Source organism: Homo sapiens, chromosome 6 (assembly GCF_000001405.40).
Source record: "Homo sapiens chromosome 6, GRCh38.p14 Primary Assembly".
NCBI lineage: Eukaryota > Metazoa > Chordata > Mammalia > Primates > Hominidae > Homo > Homo sapiens.
In genome coordinates, this window is record NC_000006.12 from 30,626,480 (window position 1) to 30,646,960 (window position 20,481).

Sequence of the window (20,481 nt, forward strand, 5' to 3'; positions counted from 1 at the left end):
GGAGATAAGTGGTCAGGCTTAAGCCAGCCTTGCCTGTGACGCCTGGGACTAGAAGCCGGGGATGGGCAGCTGTGCCACTCTGTCAAGATGCCTTGTGGGCCCCCACTCCACAGCATGGCCCACTGTTCACTGAGGGGATAAAAGGTTGGACAGTGAGACACTGGGCCAAGGAAGACTACGTTGCCATGGCACTCACTGCCGTGGGATGCAGGGATGGAAAGGAGTGGCACTGCTAGGGGCACAGCTGGTTTGGCAAGAAAAACGGGGGCCCTGTCAGTTGCCAGGACGCTAGGGGGCAAGGTCTACAGGCGGGGCTCCTGGAAATAAAGACTCCGAGAGGCGGTGCGGCGAGAGGAGGGGCGGAAGTGACGTCGTGTGGGGCGGGTCCGACCGCGCACAATGGGCCATGGAGTTCCCGTTCGATGTGGACGCGCTGTTCCCGGAGCGGATCACGGTGCTGGACCAGCACCTGAGGCCCCCAGCCCGCCGACCCGGAACCACAACGCCGGCCCGGTGACAGCTCAAACCCACCCTCTGGCCCTTTTCTCCCGGTTCCTCTCCAAACCTGGTCCAGGCACCACGCCCCCTTCTCACTGACTAGTGATCGCCCCTTTTGATGTCCAGGCCTGCCTTTTTGGTGACCTCTGACCCTGGGCCTAGTGGGATTGATCAGCGCTTGGATCTGTGACCTTTCACCCCGGGCCCAAAATGTCCCAATCAAAGGATGTGGTTGACCTGGCCTTTCTGCTTCCTCACAATAACCTTAAGGGAGGAGGGAGTGTGCCACCTTGAAAGGTGTGACAGAAGTTTGGGTTTCAGAAGGGTGGGGTGGGAAATCAGATTGGAAGACTCCCAGGCAAAGGCAGGGAGCCTTCAGTGTTAAACCTGGGTTGGAGTTGTGGCCCAGGTTCCCAGGACTGACTGCCTAGGACCCGCTAATTTAGTGAGTATCTGACTCTTTATTTCTTCTCTTTCTCTAGTGTTGATCTACAGCAGCAAATTATGACCATTATAGATGAACTGGGCAAGGCTTCTGCCAAGGTACTGGAGAGTTTTTAGATGGAGTAAAGGGAGGACCTCTGTGGGGATGGTATATAAGGGAGGCCTGGGTCCTTCGGAGAGACTTGCAGAAAGTCTGACTTAATCTTCCCTGCAGGCCCAGAATCTTTCCGCTCCTATCACTAGTGCATCAAGGATGCAGAGTAACCGCCATGTTGTTTATATTCTCAAAGACAGTTCAGCCCGACCGTGAGTGCCACATGCTCTTCCATCCCATACTTAATTCCTTCCTTCCTCAGCCCTTCCCCCATCTTTGACTATCTCTTGCAGATAGATACCACTAGCCTGTTCATTATTTTCCCCGTCCTACAGGGCTGGAAAAGGAGCCATTATTGGTTTCATCAAAGTTGGATACAAGAAGCTCTTTGTACTGGTGAGTGTTATTGGATGCTAGGAGTTCGTATACCTTGGTTTCTGAGAACAAAAGTGCTGGAGGTTAGGGGGCAGCAGAGATGCCGGGGTTCCTAAAACATTTTTATTGTTTCTCTCTTAGGATGATCGTGAGGCTCATAATGAGGTAGAACCACTTTGCATCCTGGACTTTTACATCCATGAGTCTGTGCAACGCCATGGCCATGGGCGAGAACTCTTCCAGTATATGTTGCAGGTATCACTGACCTCTTCACTGGTTCATCCAAACTAGGGGCTCCTTTGCCCTGAGCCCTTCCAGAAGCCCTGCCTCCCACCCCCCATGTTCCCATGTCATTCTATTCCCTTCCCAGGCTTCTGGCTTCCTGTTGGCATGCTTTCCCCATACTTCCTCCTACCCTGAGTCTCCTTTTCCCTGCAGAAGGAGCGAGTGGAACCGCACCAACTGGCAATTGACCGACCCTCACAGAAGCTGCTGAAATTCCTGAATAAGCACTACAATCTGGAGACCACAGTCCCACAGGTTAGAGGTTTCAGAGAATAGATCCCCACTGAGCATTCCCATTGAATTTATTTGTTATTTATGGCAAAGAAGTAGTGACTTATTTCCTATCACATAGGTTTCATTTTCTACAACCAGGCTCTTTCTTTCTCTTGTGGTACCATCTCTCATCCTGTAGTGACTTCTTTCTCATCTATTTTGATTTTTTTTTTTGAGATGGAGTCTCGCCATGCTGCCCAGGCTGGAGTACAGTGGCGCAATCTCAGCTCACTGCAACCTCCACTTCCTGGTTTCAAGCGATTCTCCTGCTTCAGCCTCCTGAGTAGCTGGGACTACAGGCACCCACCACCACACCCAGCTAATTTTTATATCTTTAGTGGAGACGGAGTTACACCATACTGGCCAGGCTGGTCTCAAACTCCTGACCTTGTGATCTGCCCGCCTTGGCCTCCCAAAATGCTGGGATTACAGGTGTGAGCCACCGCATCTGACTTTTTTTTTTTTTTTTTCAAAGCAGAGTCTCCTGCTGTTGCCCAAGCTGGAGTGCTATGGCAGGATCTTGGCTCACTGCAGCCCAACCTTCTGGGCTCAAGCGATACTCCTCCCTTAGCCTCCTGAGTAGCTGAGACTACAGGCATGCACCACCATGCCTGGCTAATTTTTTATTTTTTGTAGAGATGAGGTCTCACTATGTTGCACTGGGTGGTCTTGAACTCCTGGCTCAAGAGATCCACCTGCCTCAGCCTCCCAAAGTGCTGGGATTATAGGCGTGAGCCACTGTACCCAGACTTATTTTGATTCTTTACCACAAGTTGTTTCCTACACCTAATTTTTCTTTTTTTTTTTTTTTGTGAGATGTAGCCTTGCTCCATCGTCCAGGCTGGATTGCAGTGGCACGATCACAGCTCACTGCAACCTCTGCCTCCGGGGTTCAAGTGATTCTTGTGCCTCAGCCTCCTGAGTAGTAGGGATTACAGGCATGCACCATCATGCCCAGCTAATTTTTGTATTTTTAGTAGAGATGGAGTTTCACCATGTTGGACAGACTGGTCCTGAACTCATGGCCTCAAGTGATGTGCCCACCTCAGCCTCCCAAAAGTGCTGGGATTACAGGTGTGAGCCACCGCACACAACCCTTATGCCTAATTTTTTTTTGAGACAGAGTCGCTCTGTCACCCAGGCTGGAGTGCAGTGGCACGATCTCAGCTCACTGCAAGCTCCGCCTCCCAGGTTCACGGCATTCTCCTGCCTCAGCCTCCCGAGTAGCTGGGACTACAGGTGCCCACCACCATACCCAGCTAATTTTTTGTATTTTTAGTAGAGATGGGGTTTCACCGTGTTAGCCAGGATGGTCTAGATCTCCTGACCTTGTGATCTGCCCGCCTCGGCCTCCCAAAGTGCTGGGATTACAGGCGTGAGCCACCGTGCCCGACCCCTTATGACTAATTTTCAACCCAAACATAGCCAGCTCATTTTCACCTCCTTGTTTTCACATAGTTCATTACTCATCTGGTCAGTCAGTATTTATTAAGGGTCCAGAATAATATGCATTCCCTGTCCTCATGGAGCTTTGGCCTAATATAGGGAAGGAAGTCTTGTTTATAACTAAGTGCAGCAAAATGTTACTAATGCTACCCATTCATCCAATAAACATTGAGTGCCTGGCAGTGTTCTGGGCACTAGGAATGGTTTACTCAATGAAACAGACAACAGCCTGGGCAACATAGCGAAACTCTGTCTCTACAAAAAATACAAAAAAAAATTAGCCAGGCGTGGTGGCACGAGCCTGTAGTCCCAGCTACTTGGGAGGCTGAAATGGGAGAATCGCTTGAGCCTGGGAGGCAGAGGTTGCAGTGAGCCAAGATCGCGCCACTGCATTATAGCCTGGGCAACAGAGAGAGACCCTGTCTCCAAAAATGAAAACAAAAACAGAAAAAAAGGCCAGGTGCGGTGCGGTGGCCCATGCCCGTAATCCCAGCACTTTGGGAGGCTGACGTGGGCGAATCACTTGAGGTCAGGAGTTTGAGACCAGCCTGGTCAACATGGTAAAACCCCGTCTCTATTAAAAATACAAAAATTAGCGGGGCATGATGGTGGGTACCTGTAATCCCAGCTACCCAGGAGGCTGAGGCAGGAGAATCACTTGAACCCGGGAGGCAGAGGTTGCAGTGAACCAAGATTGCACCACTGCACTCCAGCCTGAGCGACAGAGTGAGGACTCCATCTCAAAAAAGAAAAAGAAAAAGGGCCAGGCATGGTGGCTCATGCCTGTAATCCCCACACTTTGGGAGGCCAAGGCAGGAGGATCACCTGATATCAGGAGTTCGAGATCAGCATGTGGAACATAGTGAAACCCTGTCTCTACTAAAAATATAAAAATTAACTGGGCATGATGGCGTGCGCCTGTAATCCCAGCTACTCGGGAGGCTGAGGCAGGAGAATTGCTTGAACCCCGGAGGCAGAGGTTACAGTGAGCCGAGGTCCTGCTACAGCACTCCACCCTGGGGGACGAAGCGAGACTCTTGTCTCGGAACAAAAAAAAAAAACAGAAAAAGAAGGGAACAGACAAAAGTCCCTGTCTTAGTGGTGGAGCTTATATTCTAGCTGGAGAGACAAACAAACATAATAAACAATATGGTTAATAAGTGCTCTGGAAAAATGAGAGCAAGTAAGGGTTTGGGAGTACTCAAGTAAGGTGGGGATGGGAGTATGTGGGATTGCAGGTTGAAAGGGGATCATCACTGAGAAAGTGTCATTTGAGCAATAACTGAAAGGAAGTAAGAGTAAAAACTGGCCGGGCACGGTGGCTCATGCCTGTAATCCCAGCACTTTGGGAGGCCGAGGCGCGCGGATCACGAGGTCAGGAGATCTAGACCATCCTGGCTAACATGGTGAAACCCTGTCTCCACTAAAAAAAATACAAAAAAATTAGCTGGGTGCCTGTAGTCCCAGCTACTCGGGAGGCTGAGGCAGGAGAATGGCGTGAACCTGGGAGGCAGAGCTTGCAGTGAGCCGAGATCGCGCCACTGCACTCCAGCCTGGGTGACAGAGCGAGACTCCATCTCAAAAAAAAAGAATAAAAACCAAGGCTGGGCGTGGTGACTTACATCTGCAATCCTAGTACTTAGGGAGGCCGAGGTGGGTGGATCACTTGAGCCCAGGAGTTCGAGACTAGCCTAGGCAACATGGTGAAACCCCATCTCTACAAAAAACACAAAAATTAGCCAGGTGTAGTGGCACGCACCTGTGGTCCCAGCTACTTGGGGGTCTGAGGCAGGAGGATTGCTTAAGCCCAGGAGGTCGAAGCTGCAGTGAGCCGAGATGGTACCACTGCACTGCAGCCTGGGTAACAACGTGAGACTGTCTCAAAACAAACAAACAAAAAAAAAGAGTAAGAGCCAAGAAATATCTGGAGAGAGAGCATCCCAGACAGAAGGTACCACCAGTGTATGGCCGTGAGGTGGGAGTGTGCCTGAAAGAGCAAATTGGCTGTGTCCAGAGCAGCATGAGTCAGCGGAGGAGTATGGTAGGAGATGAGACCAGAGAGGTAATGCGGAGGAGGGGCCTTATAGGCTACTGCAAAGACTGGCTTTTATTTTAAGTAAAAAATAAGATCAGGCCAGGGGTGGCGACTCACACCTGTAATCCCAGCACTTTGGGAGGCCGAGGTAGGTGGATCACCTGAGGTCTCTACTGAAAATACCAAAATTAGCTGGGTGTGATGGCAGGTGCCTGTAATCCCAGCTGTTTGGGAGTCTGAGGCAGGAGAATCACTAGAACCGGGAGGCGGAGGTTGCAGTGAGCCGCTGAAATTGTACCACTGCACTCCTGCCTGGGCGACAGAGCAAGACTCCTTCTTAAAAAAAAAAAAAAAAAAAAATAGCGCCAGGTGTGGTATCTCATTCCTGTAATCCCAGCATTTTGGGAGGCCCAGGCAGGTGGATCACAAGGTCAGGAGTTCGAGACCAGCCTGGCCATATGGTGAAACCCCATCTCTACTAAAAATACAAAAATTAGCCGGGTGTGGTGGCGGGCACCTGTAGCCCCAGCTACTTGGGAGGCTGAGATAGAAGAATCGCTTGAACCTGGGAGGCAGAGGTTGCAGTGAGCTGAGATCGCACTACTGCACTCCAGCCTGGATAACAGAACGAGACTCCATCAAAGAAAAAAGAAAAAGATCATTTTGGCTGTGATCTTGATTTTTTCCTTTTTAACAAGATCACTTTGGCTGTTAAGAACAGGCAATAGCCGGGCACAGTGGCTCACACCTGTAATCCTAGCACTTTGGGAGGCCGAGGCAGGTGGATTGCCTGAGGACTTCAAGACCAGTCTGGCTAACATGGTGAAACCCCATCTCTACTAAAAATAGAAAAAAAAATTAGCCAGGTGTGGTGGTGCTCGCCTGTAATCCCAGCTACTCGGGAGACTGAGGCAGGGGAATTGCTTGAATCAGGGAGGTAGAGGTTGCAGTGAGCTGAGATTGTGCCACTGCACTGCACTCTAGCCTGGTGACAGAGTAAGACCCCATATCAAAAAAAAAAAAAAAATGGAAACGGCAATAAGGGAGCCAGAGTAGAAGCAAGTAGACTAATTAGGCAGCAACAATCCTGGCGAAAAATGGTGGTGGCTCAGACCAAGGTGGTAGCAGTAGTGATGGTAAAGAGTGGTCAAATTTTAAATATTTTGAAGGTAAAGCAAGTAAGATTTCCTGACAGATTGTATGTGGAGAAAGAGGACTTTAGGACAATGCCAAAGCCTGAGCAGCTGGAAGAATGAAGTTGCTTTAACTGAGATGGTAGGTAGACCAGCTTTGGGGGAAATACTAGGAGTACATTTTTAATATGTTAATTGGAGATGTCTGTGATATGTCCAGGTTTGAGTAGACAGTTGGATACTTCCCTGGAGATCAGGGAGGAGGTTTGGGGAGGAGAGTTTTCAGCATACATCTGGTATCTAAAGCCAACAGACAGGATGCGATCACCATAGAAAGATTATAGATAGAGAAGCTGCCCCTTTGGGCCCTCTTTAAGAAGTGAGGACCCCCAACTGGCTGCTCTGAAAAGCCATCTTTGCATTGTTCCTGGTTCGGTGTCCTGCTCACCACAGCCACCTCCGCCATGCACTTCCTCTGCTGCCTCAGAGTCTGGCAGCTTAATCGACATAGTCCCCAAACTCTCACTTTCTTCTTAATCCCTTGCATCGGATCACCGCTGTGCCCCACCATGTCAGAGGCAGTTGTGGACACAAGCTCCGTGATCACCACCAAGGACTTCAAGGAGAAGTTGTGGAGGAGGCAGAAAGTGGAAGAGACGCCCATGCTAACGGGAACGCTAATGAGGAAAATGGGGAGCAGGAGGCTGACAACGAGGTAGATGAAGAAGAGGAACAGGGTGGGGAGAAAGAGGAGAAGGAAGAGGAAGGTGATGGTGAAGAAAAGAACGGAGATGAAAACGAAGCAGCTGAGGCGGTATGGACAAATGGGCAGCTGATGATGATGAAGATGACGATGTTGATACCAAGCAGCAGAAGGCCAGTGAGGATGATTAGACAGCAAAAAAAGAAAAGTTAAACTTTAAATTAAGGCCACCGTGACCTATTCACCCTCCACTTCCCATCTCAGAATCTAAACATGGTTGCCCTCGAGAGGCCTGCTTGCCCTCCACAGACAGTGCCACTGCAGATGACAGGCACTCACCACCACCCAACCCAAACCAGAGAATTTGCAACAGAGGAGGAAAAAAGAACCAAAACTTCCAAGGTCTTGCTCTTTTAAAAGTACTTTAAAAAGGAAGTTTGTTTGTATTTTTTATTTACATTTTATATTTTTGTACATATTGTTAGGGTCATTTTTTTTTTCTTTGAGACGGAGTCTAGCTCTGTCGCCAGGCTCAAGTGCAGTGGTGCGATCTTGGCTCACCGCAAGCTCCACCTCCTGGGTTCAAGTGATTCTCCTGCCTCAGCCTCCTGAGTAGCTGGGATTACAGGCGCCCGCCACCACACCCAGCTAATTTTTGTATTTTTAGCAGAGACAGGCTTTCACCAGGTTGGCCAGGATGGTTTCTATCTCCTGACCTTGTGATCCACCTACCTCGGCCTCCCAAAGTGCTCGAATTACAGGCGTGAGCCACCGGCGCCCAGCCAGGTTCAGTCATTTTTAATGATCTCAGATGACCAAGCCAGCCTTTGGAGGGTTCTCTGTCTTACTTCTGACTTTACTTGTGGTGTGACCATATTCATTATAATCTCAAAGGAGGAAAAAAAAAAAAAAAAAAAACCTTGTTTAAAAAAAAAAAAAAAGCCTGGGCGCGGTGGCTCGCGCCTGTAATCCCAGCACTTTGGGAGGCCGAGGTGGGTGGATCACGAGGTCAGAAGATCGAGACCATCCTGGCTAACATGGTGAAACCCCCTGTCTACTAAAAATACAAAAAATTAGCCAGGCGTGGTGGCGGGAGCCTGTAGTCCCAGCTACTTGGGAGGCTGAGGCAGGAGAATGGCGTGAACCCGGGAGGCAGAGCTTGCAGTGAGCCAAGATTGTGCCACTGCACTCCAGCCTGGGCAACAGAGCGAGACTACATCTCAAAAACAACAACAACAACAAAAAGTCTCGTTCTGAGCATTCCAGTAGCTTCTTTAGTGTATGTAGTTAGTTGTACCATAAGTAGTTGGTTTGTGTGAGATGGTTAAAAAGGCCAAAGATAAAATGTTTCATTTATTTGCCTTTTTTGTCTATGAAATGGCTGCTTATTTATTTAGGCCTATTTGATGTATGTGTGAAACAATATTGTGCAACAATAAACCCAAATTTTATTTTGCTGAGTTGTTCTAACAGCAACAAAAAGAAGTTAAGGAAGAGAAGAAGACCAGCAAATGCAACCACAGAGTGACTAGTGAAGTAGATGAAAACTGAGGCCGGGTGTGGTGGCTCACACCTGTAATCCCAGCACTTTGGGAGGCCGAGTCGGGTGGATCACCTGAGGTCAGGAGTTCAAGACCAACATGGTGAAACCCCATCTCTACAAAAAATACAAAATTAGCCAGGCGAGGTGGCTCATGCCTGTAATCCCAGCTACTTGGGAGGCTGAGGCAGGACAATCACTTGAATCTGGGAGGTGGAGGTTGCAGTAAGCCGAGATCATGCCATTGCACTCCAGCCTGGGCAACAAAGCGAAACTCCATCTCAAAAAAAAAAAAAAAGAAAAGAAAACTGAAAAGTAAGGTGACCTCAAAGGCCACTGAAGAAAGTGTTTCCAGGAGGAAGGAATGGTTTACTTGGTCAAATGCTGCTGATCAAGGAGCAAAGAGGTCTGAGAAGTTACCATTGGATTTATCTGCGTTAGGCCATTGGTGATCTTAATGAGCAGTTTTGGTGCAGCGGTGTTTGGAAGCCTGGATGCAGTGGGTCTTGTAGACTGAGAAGCTAGGAACACAGCAAGAATAAGCTACTCTTTTAAATCCTGCTTTAATGGGAATAGAAATAGAGCAAGAGCTGGAGAGTGAAGTGGATCAAAAGAGTTGATCTTTTGCAGATGGGAGAACAAATAGCATTAGAATGATTCAGTAGAGAGAAAATATTATTATGTCAGAGAAAGTGGGGAGAACTGTTGAAGTGATGTCATTGAATGGGCGGCGGGGGCGTTGAGATTTGGTTGACAAGTTAGCCTTGGATAGGAACATGGACAGTTAATCCATTGTAACATGATTTGATAGATGTGATTACAGAGGAGGCATAAGGACATGGATTTGAGTGCTATCTTGGGCTGGGGGTTGGGTAAAGAAAGATGACATGTCTAATCTTGAAAGGCAAGTGTTTGTCAGGTGGACAAAAGGCTAAAGTGCATTTCATGTAGAGGAACAGGCATGAGCAAAGGCAGAAAGGTATTAAACCACCTTTCAGGCCAGGCGTGGTGGCTCACACCTGTAATCCCAGCACTTTGGGAGGCCAAGGTAGGCGGATCACAAGGTCAGGAGATCGAGACCATCCTGGCTAACACGGTAAAACCCCGTCTCTACTAAAAATACAAAAAAAATTAGCTGGGCGTGGTGGCAGGCGCCTGTAGTCCCAGCTAATCAGGAGGCTGAGGCAGGAGAATGGCGTGAACCCAGGAGGCGGAGCTTGCAGTGAGCCCAGATCATGCCACTGCACTCCAGCCTGGGCGACAGAGCAAGACACTGTCTCAAAAAAAATAAATAAATAAATAAAAATAAACCACCTTTCAGGACACTACAAGCAGTGTGGTGTGGTTGGAGTGCTGGGCATGTGCTTGTTGGGGGGTGGGGGTGATGAGGATGGGCTGGTAGACATTACAACAAGGTCAAGGCAAGGGATAGGCAGGGTCTTCCTACAGTATATTTTTCCATTAAGAGGCAACAGAGAGCAGTGGAAGGAGCACAGTTTTTTTTTGTTTGTTTGTTTGTATTTTGAGATGGAGTCTCAGTCTGTCGCCCAGGCTGGAGTGCAGTGGCACAATCTCAGCTCACTGGAACCTCTGCCTCCTGAGTCCAAGCAATTCTCTTGCCTCAGCCTCCTGAGTAGCTGGGATTAGAGGCGCCCACCACCACACCTGGCTAATTTTTGTGTTGATGAGGTTTCACCATGTTGGCCAGACGTCTCGAACTTCTGACCTCAAGTGATCCGCCCACCTCGGTCTCCCAAAGTGCTACGATTACAGCCGTGAGCCACCATACCCGGTCCTGGAGCACAGTATTCGATATGAAACACATTACCCAGTTAACATGTAAGGCCAGAGCAGTATAGAGTGTAAATAATAATTCACATTTCATGGGCTCTATGTGGTATCTATATGCATCATCTCAGTGGATTCTTGCACATCTTTTTGAGGTAGGTACTATTATTAAACCTATTTTGGGTTTATACAAATTAATGACTTAACCAAATTCACACAGCCAGTAAATAGTAGAGTCCACATTTGAACCCATAGCCATTTGCACCCAGTGAACTTTTTTTTTTTTTTTCTTTTTGAGGCAAGGTCTTGCTCTGTTGCCTAGGCTGGAGTGCAGTGGCACGATCACGGCTCACTGCAGTCTCTACCTCCTAGGCTCAAGAGATCTTCCCTACCAGCCTGGCCAACATGGCGAAACCCCATCTCTATTAAAAATACAAAAATAAGCCGGGCGTGGTGGCATGTGCCTGTAATCCCAGCTACTCAGGAGGCTGAGACAGGAGAAGAGCTTGAACCTGGGAGGTGGAAGTTGCAGGGAGCCGAGATGACACCATTGCACTCCAGCATGGGCAACAGAGTGAGATTCCATGTTAAAAAAAAAAAAAGGCCGGACGCATTGGCTCGCGCCTGTAACCCCAGCACTTTGGAAGGCCAAGGCGGGCGGATCACGAGGTCAAGAGATCAAGACCATCCTGGCCAACATGGTGAAACCCTGTCTCTACTGAAAATACAAAAATTAGCTGGGCATGGTGGCGCATGCCTGTAGTCCCAGCTGCTCCGGAGGCTGAGGCAGGAGAATCGCTTGAACTCAGGAGGTGGAGGTTGCAGTGAGCTGAGATCTTGCCACTGAAGTCCAGCCTGGCAACAGAGCGAGACTCCATCTCAAAAAAGATCTTCCCACCTCAACCTCCCAAGTAGTTGGGACTACAGGCGCCCACCACTATGGCTGGCTGATTTTTTGTATTTTTAGTAGAGACGGGGTTTCACCGTGTTAGCCAGGGTGGTCTCGATCTCCTGACCTCGTGATCGGCCCGCCTCGGCCTCCCAAAGTGCTGGGATTACAGGCTTGAGCCACTGGGCCCGGCCCACGCCTGGCTAATTTTTAAAAATATTTTTGTAGAGATGAGGTCTTGCTATATTGCCCAGGCTGGTCTTGAACTCCTGGGCTCAAGCTATCCACATGAGCCACCATGCCCAGCCCCCATTAAACTTTTTTTTTTGAGATGGAGTCTCACTCTGTCACCCAGGCTGAAGTACAGTGGTGCAATCTCAGCTCACTACAGCCTCTCCCTCCTGGGGTCAATGGATTCTCCTGCCTCAGCCTCCTGAGTAGCTAGGATTACAGGCGCACGTCACCACACCCAGCTAATTTTTGTATTTTTAGTAGAGACAGGGTCTCGAACTCCTGACCTCAAGTGATCCACCCGCCTTGGCCTCCCAAATTGTTGGGATTACAGGCGTGATCCACCACGCCTGGCCCCCGAGTTTTTTTTTTTTTTTTGAGACGGAGTCTCTCTCTGTCGCCCAGGCTGGAGTGCAGTGTTGCCATCTCGGCTCACTGCAAGCTCTCCTCTTGAGTAAACTCTTAATGGCTACACTATTTTCCTGGCTAAAACACTGCAGCTGGAATCAGAAGTCTGAAAGTTGAGGCCCAGCCCTGCCACTTGTAGCTACTTGGCATTGGCCAAGCGAAGCCATGTCTCCAAGGCTGTATTTCCCCCAACCTTCTTTCAAATAGTGACTTCCAGGATTGTGAAGGCCAAATTAAATGTGAAAATATAATGAAGTAACTCTAAAATTAATAGTTACTAGTTATCAAAGTAGCATCCTGGCCTCCAGCATGTCTTCCCCTGACTTTCCCCACCCCTTGGAACCCTGCTGAATTTTTTATTTATTTATTTATCCTTTGAGACGGAGTCTCATTCTCTTGCCCAGGCTGGAGTGCAGTGGCACGATCTCAGCTCACTGCAACCTCCGCCTCCTGGGTTCAAGCGACTCTCCTGCCTCAGCCTCCCAAGTAGCTAGGATTACAGGTGCACACTGCCATGCCTGGCTAATTTTTTGTATTTATAATAGACACAGGGTTTCACCATCTTGGCCAGACCGGTCTTGAACTCCTGACCTCAAGTGATGCCTGCCACAGCCTCCCAAAGTGCTGGGATTACAGGTGTGAGCCACTGAACCTGGACTTTAGCACCTTTTTATGTGCTTATTGGCCATTTGTGTATCTTCTTTAGAGAAAAGTTTATACAAGTCCTTTGTCTGTTCTTAAATTGTGTTCTTTTTTGTTCTGAGAGTTTTTCATATATTCTAGATAGAACGCACTTATCAGATGTATGACTTGCAAACATTTTCTCCCATTCTGTAGATTGTCTTTTCACTTTCTTTCTTTTTTTTTTTTTTTGAGACGGAGTCTTGCTCCATCGCCCAGGCTGGAGTGCAGTGGCACGATCTCAGCTCACTGCAAGCTCTGCCTCCCGGGTTCACGCCATTCTGCTGCCTCAGCCTCCCGAGTAGCTGGGACTACAGGCGCCCGCCACCACATCCGGCTAATTTTTTTGTATTTTTAGTAGAGATGGGGTTTCACCATGTTAGCCAGGATGGTCTCGATCTCCTGACCTCATGATCCGCCCGCCTCGGCCTCCCAAAGTGCTGGGATTACAGGCGTGAGCCACCGCACCTGACCTTTACTGTACCTTTTCTGTGTTGAGGTATGTTTAGATACATCAGCTGAACCATTATGTTAGAATTGCCTACAGCTGGCTGAGCATGGTGGCTCACGTCTATAATCCCAGGACTTTTGGAGGCTGAGGCAGAAGGATCACATGAGCCCTGGAGTTTGAGACTGGCCTGGGCATCATAGTGAGACCCCCATCTCTACAAAAAGTTAAAAAAAAATTAGTAGCCAGATGTGGTGGCATGCACCTGTGGTCCTAGCTACTTGGGAGGCTGAGGTGGGAGGATCATTTAAGCCCAGGTTGATGCTGCAGTGAGCTGTGATGGCACCACTGCACTCCAGCCTAGGCAACAGAGCGAGACTCTGCCTCTCAAAAAAAAAAAAAAATTGCCTACAGCATTCAGTACAGTAACATGCTGTACAGGTTTGTAGCCTAGGAGCAATAGGCTGTATGATATAGTCTGGGTGTGTTGTAGGCTATAGTGTCTAGGTTTGTGTAAGTACACTCTGTGATGTTCACACAATGAAATCACCCAATGACGTATTTCTCAGAATGTATCCCCATCGTTAAGTGATGCATGATTGTATTTTGTTTGTTTCATCTTCCAGGTGAACAACTTTGTGATCTTTGAAGGCTTCTTTGCCCATCAACATCGTAAGTTTTTGCATTTTGTTGGTCACGTAGTCGGGGTGAGGGAAAGGAAAGAGCTGGACTCTTGGTCCTGCCGACCCCTCACTGAGGGGCCCCGCCGCTTCCTTCCTCACAGGGCCCCCTGCTCCCTCTCTGAGGGCAACTCGACACTCTCGTGCTGCTGCAGTCGATCCCACGCCCGCTGGTAAAGCCTGTATTGAAGGGGTGGAACTGTAGTGCAGTGATGGCTACTTACTCTAGATGCCACGGGGTACAGTGCCATCTGTGGGCAATTTTGGAAAATTCTAAAGCAACCCAAGTCTCCAGCAGTCATGACTGTTTGCCTTTGCCCTCATGGGAGCTCAGTGCATTTTATATTTGGCAAGACTTTTAACTAAGCAAGCTCATTGGGAGCCTGTTTGACAGCTGATATCAATGGACCCTCTTGCCAGTTCAGGTCCGTCAACATAGGCCAGAGTCAGGCTCCTTTGTAAACCCCAGGCTTCTGTTAGCCAGTGAGGGACAGGCTGGTGCAAACAGCCCTTCCATTTGCAGTCACAGAATAGTGACACAAATGGCCCAAAATTTAAATGTTACTTTTAGAAGATAACACTCAGAGTTTATAACATTTCCAACCAGATAATGAAATTGATATGGAGAAACCAAACCTCAGAGGCACTAAAATGCTGTCCAGATTCCCCATCCCATATACACACATACACACACACACACACACACAAACACACTTACTGACAGTCTGAGCCCCACTCCTTCCTCTTCCTCACCACCTCCACCTTACCAACTTCTGACAGCTGTACAGTGCTTGCTTGCACAGAAGAGCCCCCTTCCTGAGCTGGCTCTGTGGCCAGGAAAGGATGTAACCACCATCCAAACAGCAGTCTGTAACCAGCTATGAGCATCACAGTGTCAGGCACTGAGAGGCACCTCAACTCGCTTTGGTTTCCAAGGCTTCTCCCATTTAGCTTGTTCAGAACCACAGGCTGTGAGAGGGACTGAGGGCCAACAAGGATGGTGAGGTCTCAGGCCTGCAGGGGAGGGTGCTGTGGATAAAGCTTAAGTGAATTTGCTGAGAAGTCTTTCATTTGCCACACATACATGATGGAGAATCTCTTGAGAGGGAAAGCCGGGAGCAAGTAGAGAAGTGAGGAGGGGGAGGCTGAACTTTGGACATTACATCAGCCTCCTGCTTACTCTGATAGCTCCCTTTCAGATGCCCATATTTATTTTCTTTTTTTTTTTTAACCTAATAAAACTTCAGTCTCTTCCCATTTTCGTATAGGAAGGAGAGATTGTGCCCTCCTTCCAAACCTCCCCTGACCTCTCCAGAGCAATTCCTGATTAACCAAGGGCTTTGTCCATCTCATCCAGAGGAACCCAGGGTCCTCGTTGGCCCGGCTGGGACCATTCCACTGCCCCAGAATACCAGGGGGCCATGACAGCACCCACTGACAGTAAGAGCTCACTTCCCTTGGCTGCCCTTCTCCTGCATCTCCCAGGCCCCCAGAGTCTCCCCTTCGATCTTTCTCCCTAGCTCTGTGTTTGGCCTACTCCTTCTGGCTTTCCTCAACAGTGTTCCACATTCCCCTCAAATTCCCTTTTGGTGTGCTGGCATTGCCATGGTGCTGCTCCTGCAAGTTCTCAGGAGGAACTGTGGTGTCAGGGAGCAGAGGTTTGGGGTTGGGGTATAGTGGCTGGGAGGAGGGGTGCAAAGTATGTCTCCTAACGCTTACCCTGCCTATGTCCCCTCCACTGCCAGCTCCAGCAAGGAAGCTGCCACCCAAGAGAGCAGAGGGAGACATCAAGCCATACTCCTCTAGTGACCGAGAATGTAAGAGGGGCAAGGGTCGGGTGTCTGGGCCTGGGGTACCTTAACACAAGGGAAGAGAATGCTCAGGGGACCCAGGGAAAGGATTCGTTCTCTCTAAAGACTCAGATTTCTTGGGCTGGGCATGGTGGCTCATGCCTGTAATCCCAGCACTTTGAGAGGCTAAGGCAGGCAGATCGCCTGAGTCCAGGGGTTCAAGACCAGCCTGGCCAACATGGTGAAACCCCGTCTCTACTAAAAATACAAAAATTAGCTGGGCACGGTGGCACGTGCCTGTAATCCCAGCTACTTGGGAGGCTGAGGCAGGAGAATGGCTTGAACCCAGGAGGCGGAAGTTGCAGTGAGCCAAGATCGTGCCACTGCACTCCAGCTTGGGTGACAGAGTGAGACTCCGTCTCAAAAAAGAAAAAAAAAAAAAAGAAAGACTCAGATTTCTCTTTTTTTCTACCAAAACCTTTGCTGTCATGACTCTCTTCCTTTTTTCTTCTTTTTCTGTCTTGCTCTTCATTCTCCCTGTCCCCAGTTCTGAAGGTAGCTGTGGAGCCTCCTTGGCCCCTAAACAGGGCCCCTCGCCGCGCCACACCTCCAGCCCACCCACCCCCCCGCTCCAGCAGCCTGGGAAACTCACCAGAACGAGGTCCCCTCCGCCCCTTTGTGCCAGAGCAGGAGCTGCTGCGTTCCTTGCGCCTCTGCCCCCCACACCCTACCGCCCGCCTTCTGTTGGCTGCTGACCCTGGGGGCAGCCCAGCTCAACGTCGTCGCACCAGGTAATAGGAGTTGAAGGGCTAAGGAGCCTCACAGCTATAAAAGAGGATGTTAGAAATGGCAAAGGGCAATTTGAATCCATCAGAGAGATGGATCAATAAGATGGGTGGCTTGGGGGGGGTCCTGAAACCTTTCAAGAAAAATATTTGTGCAAGTGATCTGGGAAAAAAATGCAGTGAAGGAGCAGAATAGGACCTTATATGGAGCCTAGGGACCCTGGCTTTAATGTGAGAGTTATGTGGAATGGTAGGAAGAACACCGAGATCCATCGAGTTGGGGGAACAGAGCCTTCTAAGATTGGGAAAATCTTCGCTTAATACTTGCTGGGGAAGGGGCAGTGTCTGACAGAGAGTGGGAAGCCACTGGCTTGTGTGCCAAGAGTCCATCGCAGCAGGCAGGGAGTGGGCATTTCCTTTATTTCTCTCCCTTTCTCTTCACCTCTGACTTCTCTGTTTTTCTCTCCCCCGCCCCCCGCCATTTCCCATCTCCCTTCCTCCCATCCATAACATCCTTCCACAGCTCCCTTCCCCGCTCTGAGGAGAGTCGATACTAACAGCTACCCTCTCCCTGCCCTGGGAGACCTGGGGTGGGCAGGGAACCCCTCCCTGAGAACCTCAGACCCACTCTTCCATTGCATCCTGTAGGACCCAGTGGAACCTGACAGAGCCCATAGGATTCCCTCTTCTACTTTCTTAGACAGCAGGGATGTCAGGGTCTCAAACTGCCTAACACTTTGTAGCTTTTCTTAACACAAAAGCACCCCTTCTCTCCTAACTTGGGCTCTGAATACTTTCCCAACAGGAAGTCTGATCTGTTGCCAGACTTCTTGGTTAGATGGCTCATACATTTATCTAGAGAAGCACACTCTTGCTTGCTGTCAAACTTTAGACCACCATGGAAGGTCTAAGGGCATCCTGTGCCAGGGAAACTTTTTAAGGAATTTTATCTATGGGATAAACCCCATATTCCCTCTAGTGTCTACTGGTGGCTCTAATACTGCTTTGTGCTGCCTGCCACACTTGCCCTTTGAGCCTGCGAATGGCCGCTAGTGAGCAAGCTCTGCTTCAGAGCAGTCTAGTTAGGTAGAACAGGGACTTACCAGCTTCCCAAAGGGATCTACTCACCATTGCCAAACTCTTCATTTCCACATTTTGTGTAGGTGTCAGGGAACCCCAAACTGGTGTTGCTTTGGGGTCTCTAAAGGAGATTGGCTGACACCACCATTTCCCCCAGATCCAGATTCTCTGAGGGAGGTTGTTTCTTGAGAGTAGATCCAGAGTGTCAAGGATCTGTTAGATCCTGGAATCCCTTCTTGCATCCATCCCTCCCTGGTAGCTAGGTCCCGATATACTCCTGTCTTGTGAGATTGTCGAGATGAGATGGGGGACCACTCTTCCTCTGTCCTTCCTCTCTCCTTTCCTCCATAGCAAGGACGACCTTCCCTGCTCCATGCCCAGAGTATAGCTAGATCCCTTCCCCTCCCTACCCTCTGAATGTGTGCTAGATCAGGTGCCCCACTGTGTTTCCTGAAATCCTTGGGAGCCGGATCTCCCCATCTCCCCTACTCACTCTTCCCTTTTCTTCTCTCAGTGTTGTCTGAATAAAGTGTGAAATCTTTTGTGTTTTCTAAATTGACATTTTCAATGAAAAAAAGAATCACAAAAAAAAAAGTTGTCAGCCTCATTTGTGCGTCATCCCTTATTTTCCTGGGATCTCAGGACCTCTGTCCCTCTCATTTCTCACTTCTGAGATCTGCACATCTTTTACCCAGGAGCCTCAGAGCTCCTGAGTCTGGTGTCTGCCTATCCCCATCTTCACTGTTAGTCCTCCTGCAGATTCTGTGTCTCCTTTCATGTAGGTGCTGGATCCCTGTGTGTGGGCTTCCGTATCTACTCCCTCATTCCCTCCAGGAACCTCCAGCTCTCCCCAGTGACTTCTACCCTTTACTCTGGGCGTGCCTTTGCCAAGATGTCAAAGCTTACCAACATCTCTGGATCCACTAATTACCTCCTGCCTCCTGTATTCGTCTTCCCACTCTGATTACCTGACGTCTGCTCCACTAAACCGCTGGATCTCTCTCAAGACAAACCCTTACCTCCATTGAGAGTGCAACACAGTCTGTCACCCTATTTACAGAGGCCCCCTTCCTTTTCCTCCTAAATTCAAAATTCAGCCTTGTCACTTCCTATTTCCCTCTGGTCTAAGGAATCTTTTTTTTTTTTTTTGAGATGGAGTCTTGCTCTGTCGCCAGGCTGGAGTGCAGTGGCACAATCTCAGCTCACTGCAACCTCCGCCTCCTGGGTTCAAGCGATTCTCCTGCCTTAGCCTCCCAAGTAGCTGGGATTACAGAAGTGCACCACCGTGCCCAGCTAGTTTGTGTATTTTTAGTAGAGACAGGGTTTCACCATGTTGGCCAGGTTGGTCTCGATCTCCTGATCACGTGATCTGCCCGTCTTGGCCTCCCAAAGTGCTGGGATTACAAGCCTGAGCCACCGCGCCCAGCCTGGTCTAAGGAATCTTATAGTTAAGGTAACCCTGTTTTCCAAACCAAACACCAGAGTACCCGATCCAACACATTTTTGACCACATGTGAGTCTGTTCTTCTGACATGATTTGGATCACACCTAGCCATAGATTTAACACATTACCTCAACTAGAAAGAATAGAGCAATAAATCAGAAGCACTCCAGAAAATCTTGGGTATAAAATGAACTTCCCCCGCCCTTTTCTGGGGCACAGCTTTGATTAAAACCTGTTAGGAATGATAATTACCCCCTTCTCTTTGTTCCTGTGCTATTCCTTTTACTCCTCTCCTCTGATTCCTCCATACCCACCCATCTTTCATCCAGTAGCCTCCTCCCCATCATCTCCCATTTCTTCTACAGGGGGACTCCCCCAGGTCTGGTAGCCCAAAGCTGCTGCTACAGCCGCCATGGGGGGGTGAATTCCTCATCCCCCAATACAGGTAAGTATTCACTCCTCCCTACCCTCAAATCAAGTAGGCCACATTCACTGTCTACTCCTGCCTTCCCATTCACATGCCTGATATTTCCACAGGCAACCAAGACTCCAAGCAGGGAGAACAGGAAACAAAGAATAGGTGAGGTCTAAACCCCTCCCCTAACAGCCTCCCACCACCATCTGACTCCCTTCCTAACATCATTCTCAGTCACTTCCTACTCTTAAATCTTATTGTATGAACTGGACACCAGCTCCTCCCACAATTCCTTCTACCTTACATCCTGCAAGCCCCTTTCCCCCACAGGTTCAACTCTGGTACTTCCCTTTGGAATACGGATTCTCTGAGAGGTTTTAAATTTGGACATAGCACTAATGGTTCCAGCTTCATACCCATCATGTGTCCTACATTAAAACCTGGCCCGAGACCTTGAAGAGTCTGTAATCTTAATTTCCTCTTTAGTATTCCTATAACCCACTCTCCATCTCCCCACCTACCAGGTCTGCCAGTGAGGAGCAGGCCTTGTCACAGGATGGGTCTGGGGAGAAGCCCATGCACACAGCTCCTCCACAGGCCCCGGCCCCGCCAGCCCAGTCCTGGACAGTGGGTGGGGACATACTCAACGCCAGGTTCATTCGAAACCTGCAGGAACGTCGCAGCACCAGGCCTTGGTGACCGCAGCCCCGTCAAACATCTTCAAAGTATTATTTCTCCCTCACTACAGGAAAGAGCCAAAGCCCAACCCTCATAATAGATGGATACATTCATTCATTCATTCATTCAGCAGGCTTATCAGATTCAAGTCATTTGTATCTTTTAACCAGACCAATAAAAGTATTTATTTTTATCACAAGAGCTGTTGAAAAATTTGACTCATTATTTCAGCCGCCTCACCCCTCACTGTCGTTGCACCCATTCAGCCTTCAGCCCTGTTTTTGCTCAGCTTTTTGCTCAAAGGCCTCAGCTGTGAATACAGCGCTTGGGGGGGCGGG

At 49.1% G+C, this 20,481-nt stretch overlaps 1 protein-coding gene and 1 pseudogene across 8 annotated transcripts, besides 1 other annotated feature; both read left to right on the forward strand.

The window, feature by feature from the left end:
- Window positions 233–527: an enhancer, noted in NCBI's record as "tiled region #13793; HepG2 Activating DNase unmatched - State 1:Tss, and K562 Activating non-DNase unmatched - State 2:TssF". NCBI's record gives its function as "activates a minimal TATA promoter and a strong SV40 promoter by Sharpr-MPRA in HepG2 and K562 cells {active_cell/tissue: HepG2 | K562}" and the evidence as "EXISTENCE:reporter gene assay evidence [ECO:0000049][PMID:27701403]".
- On the forward strand, window positions 395–20,342 carry ATAT1 (alpha tubulin acetyltransferase 1). Of its 8 annotated transcripts, none has more exons than NM_001031722.4 (13): window positions 395–795; window positions 981–1,041; window positions 1,157–1,248; window positions 1,372–1,432; window positions 1,553–1,666; window positions 1,850–1,951; window positions 13,898–13,943; window positions 14,056–14,124; window positions 15,697–15,768; window positions 16,289–16,532; window positions 19,416–19,495; window positions 19,588–19,630; window positions 19,990–20,342. In NM_001031722.4, exons 1-13 carry the CDS (start codon window positions 725–727, stop codon window positions 20,162–20,164), a joined length of 1,230 nt encoding a protein of 409 aa, NP_001026892.1. In that variant the 5' UTR covers window positions 395–724; the 3' UTR covers window positions 20,165–20,342. The 8 variants fall into 8 exon arrangements, 7 of the variants coding, with proteins under 7 accessions (NP_001026892.1, NP_001399996.1, NP_079185.2 ...); NM_001413067.1 differs by having other exon boundaries at window positions 395–513; NR_033823.3 differs by lacking the exon at window positions 16,289–16,532 and having other exon boundaries at window positions 395–513; window positions 19,588–20,342.
- PTMAP1 (prothymosin alpha pseudogene 1) lies at window positions 6,971–8,758 on the forward strand (annotated as a pseudogene).
- Window positions 20,343–20,481: the final 139 nt, after the last annotated feature.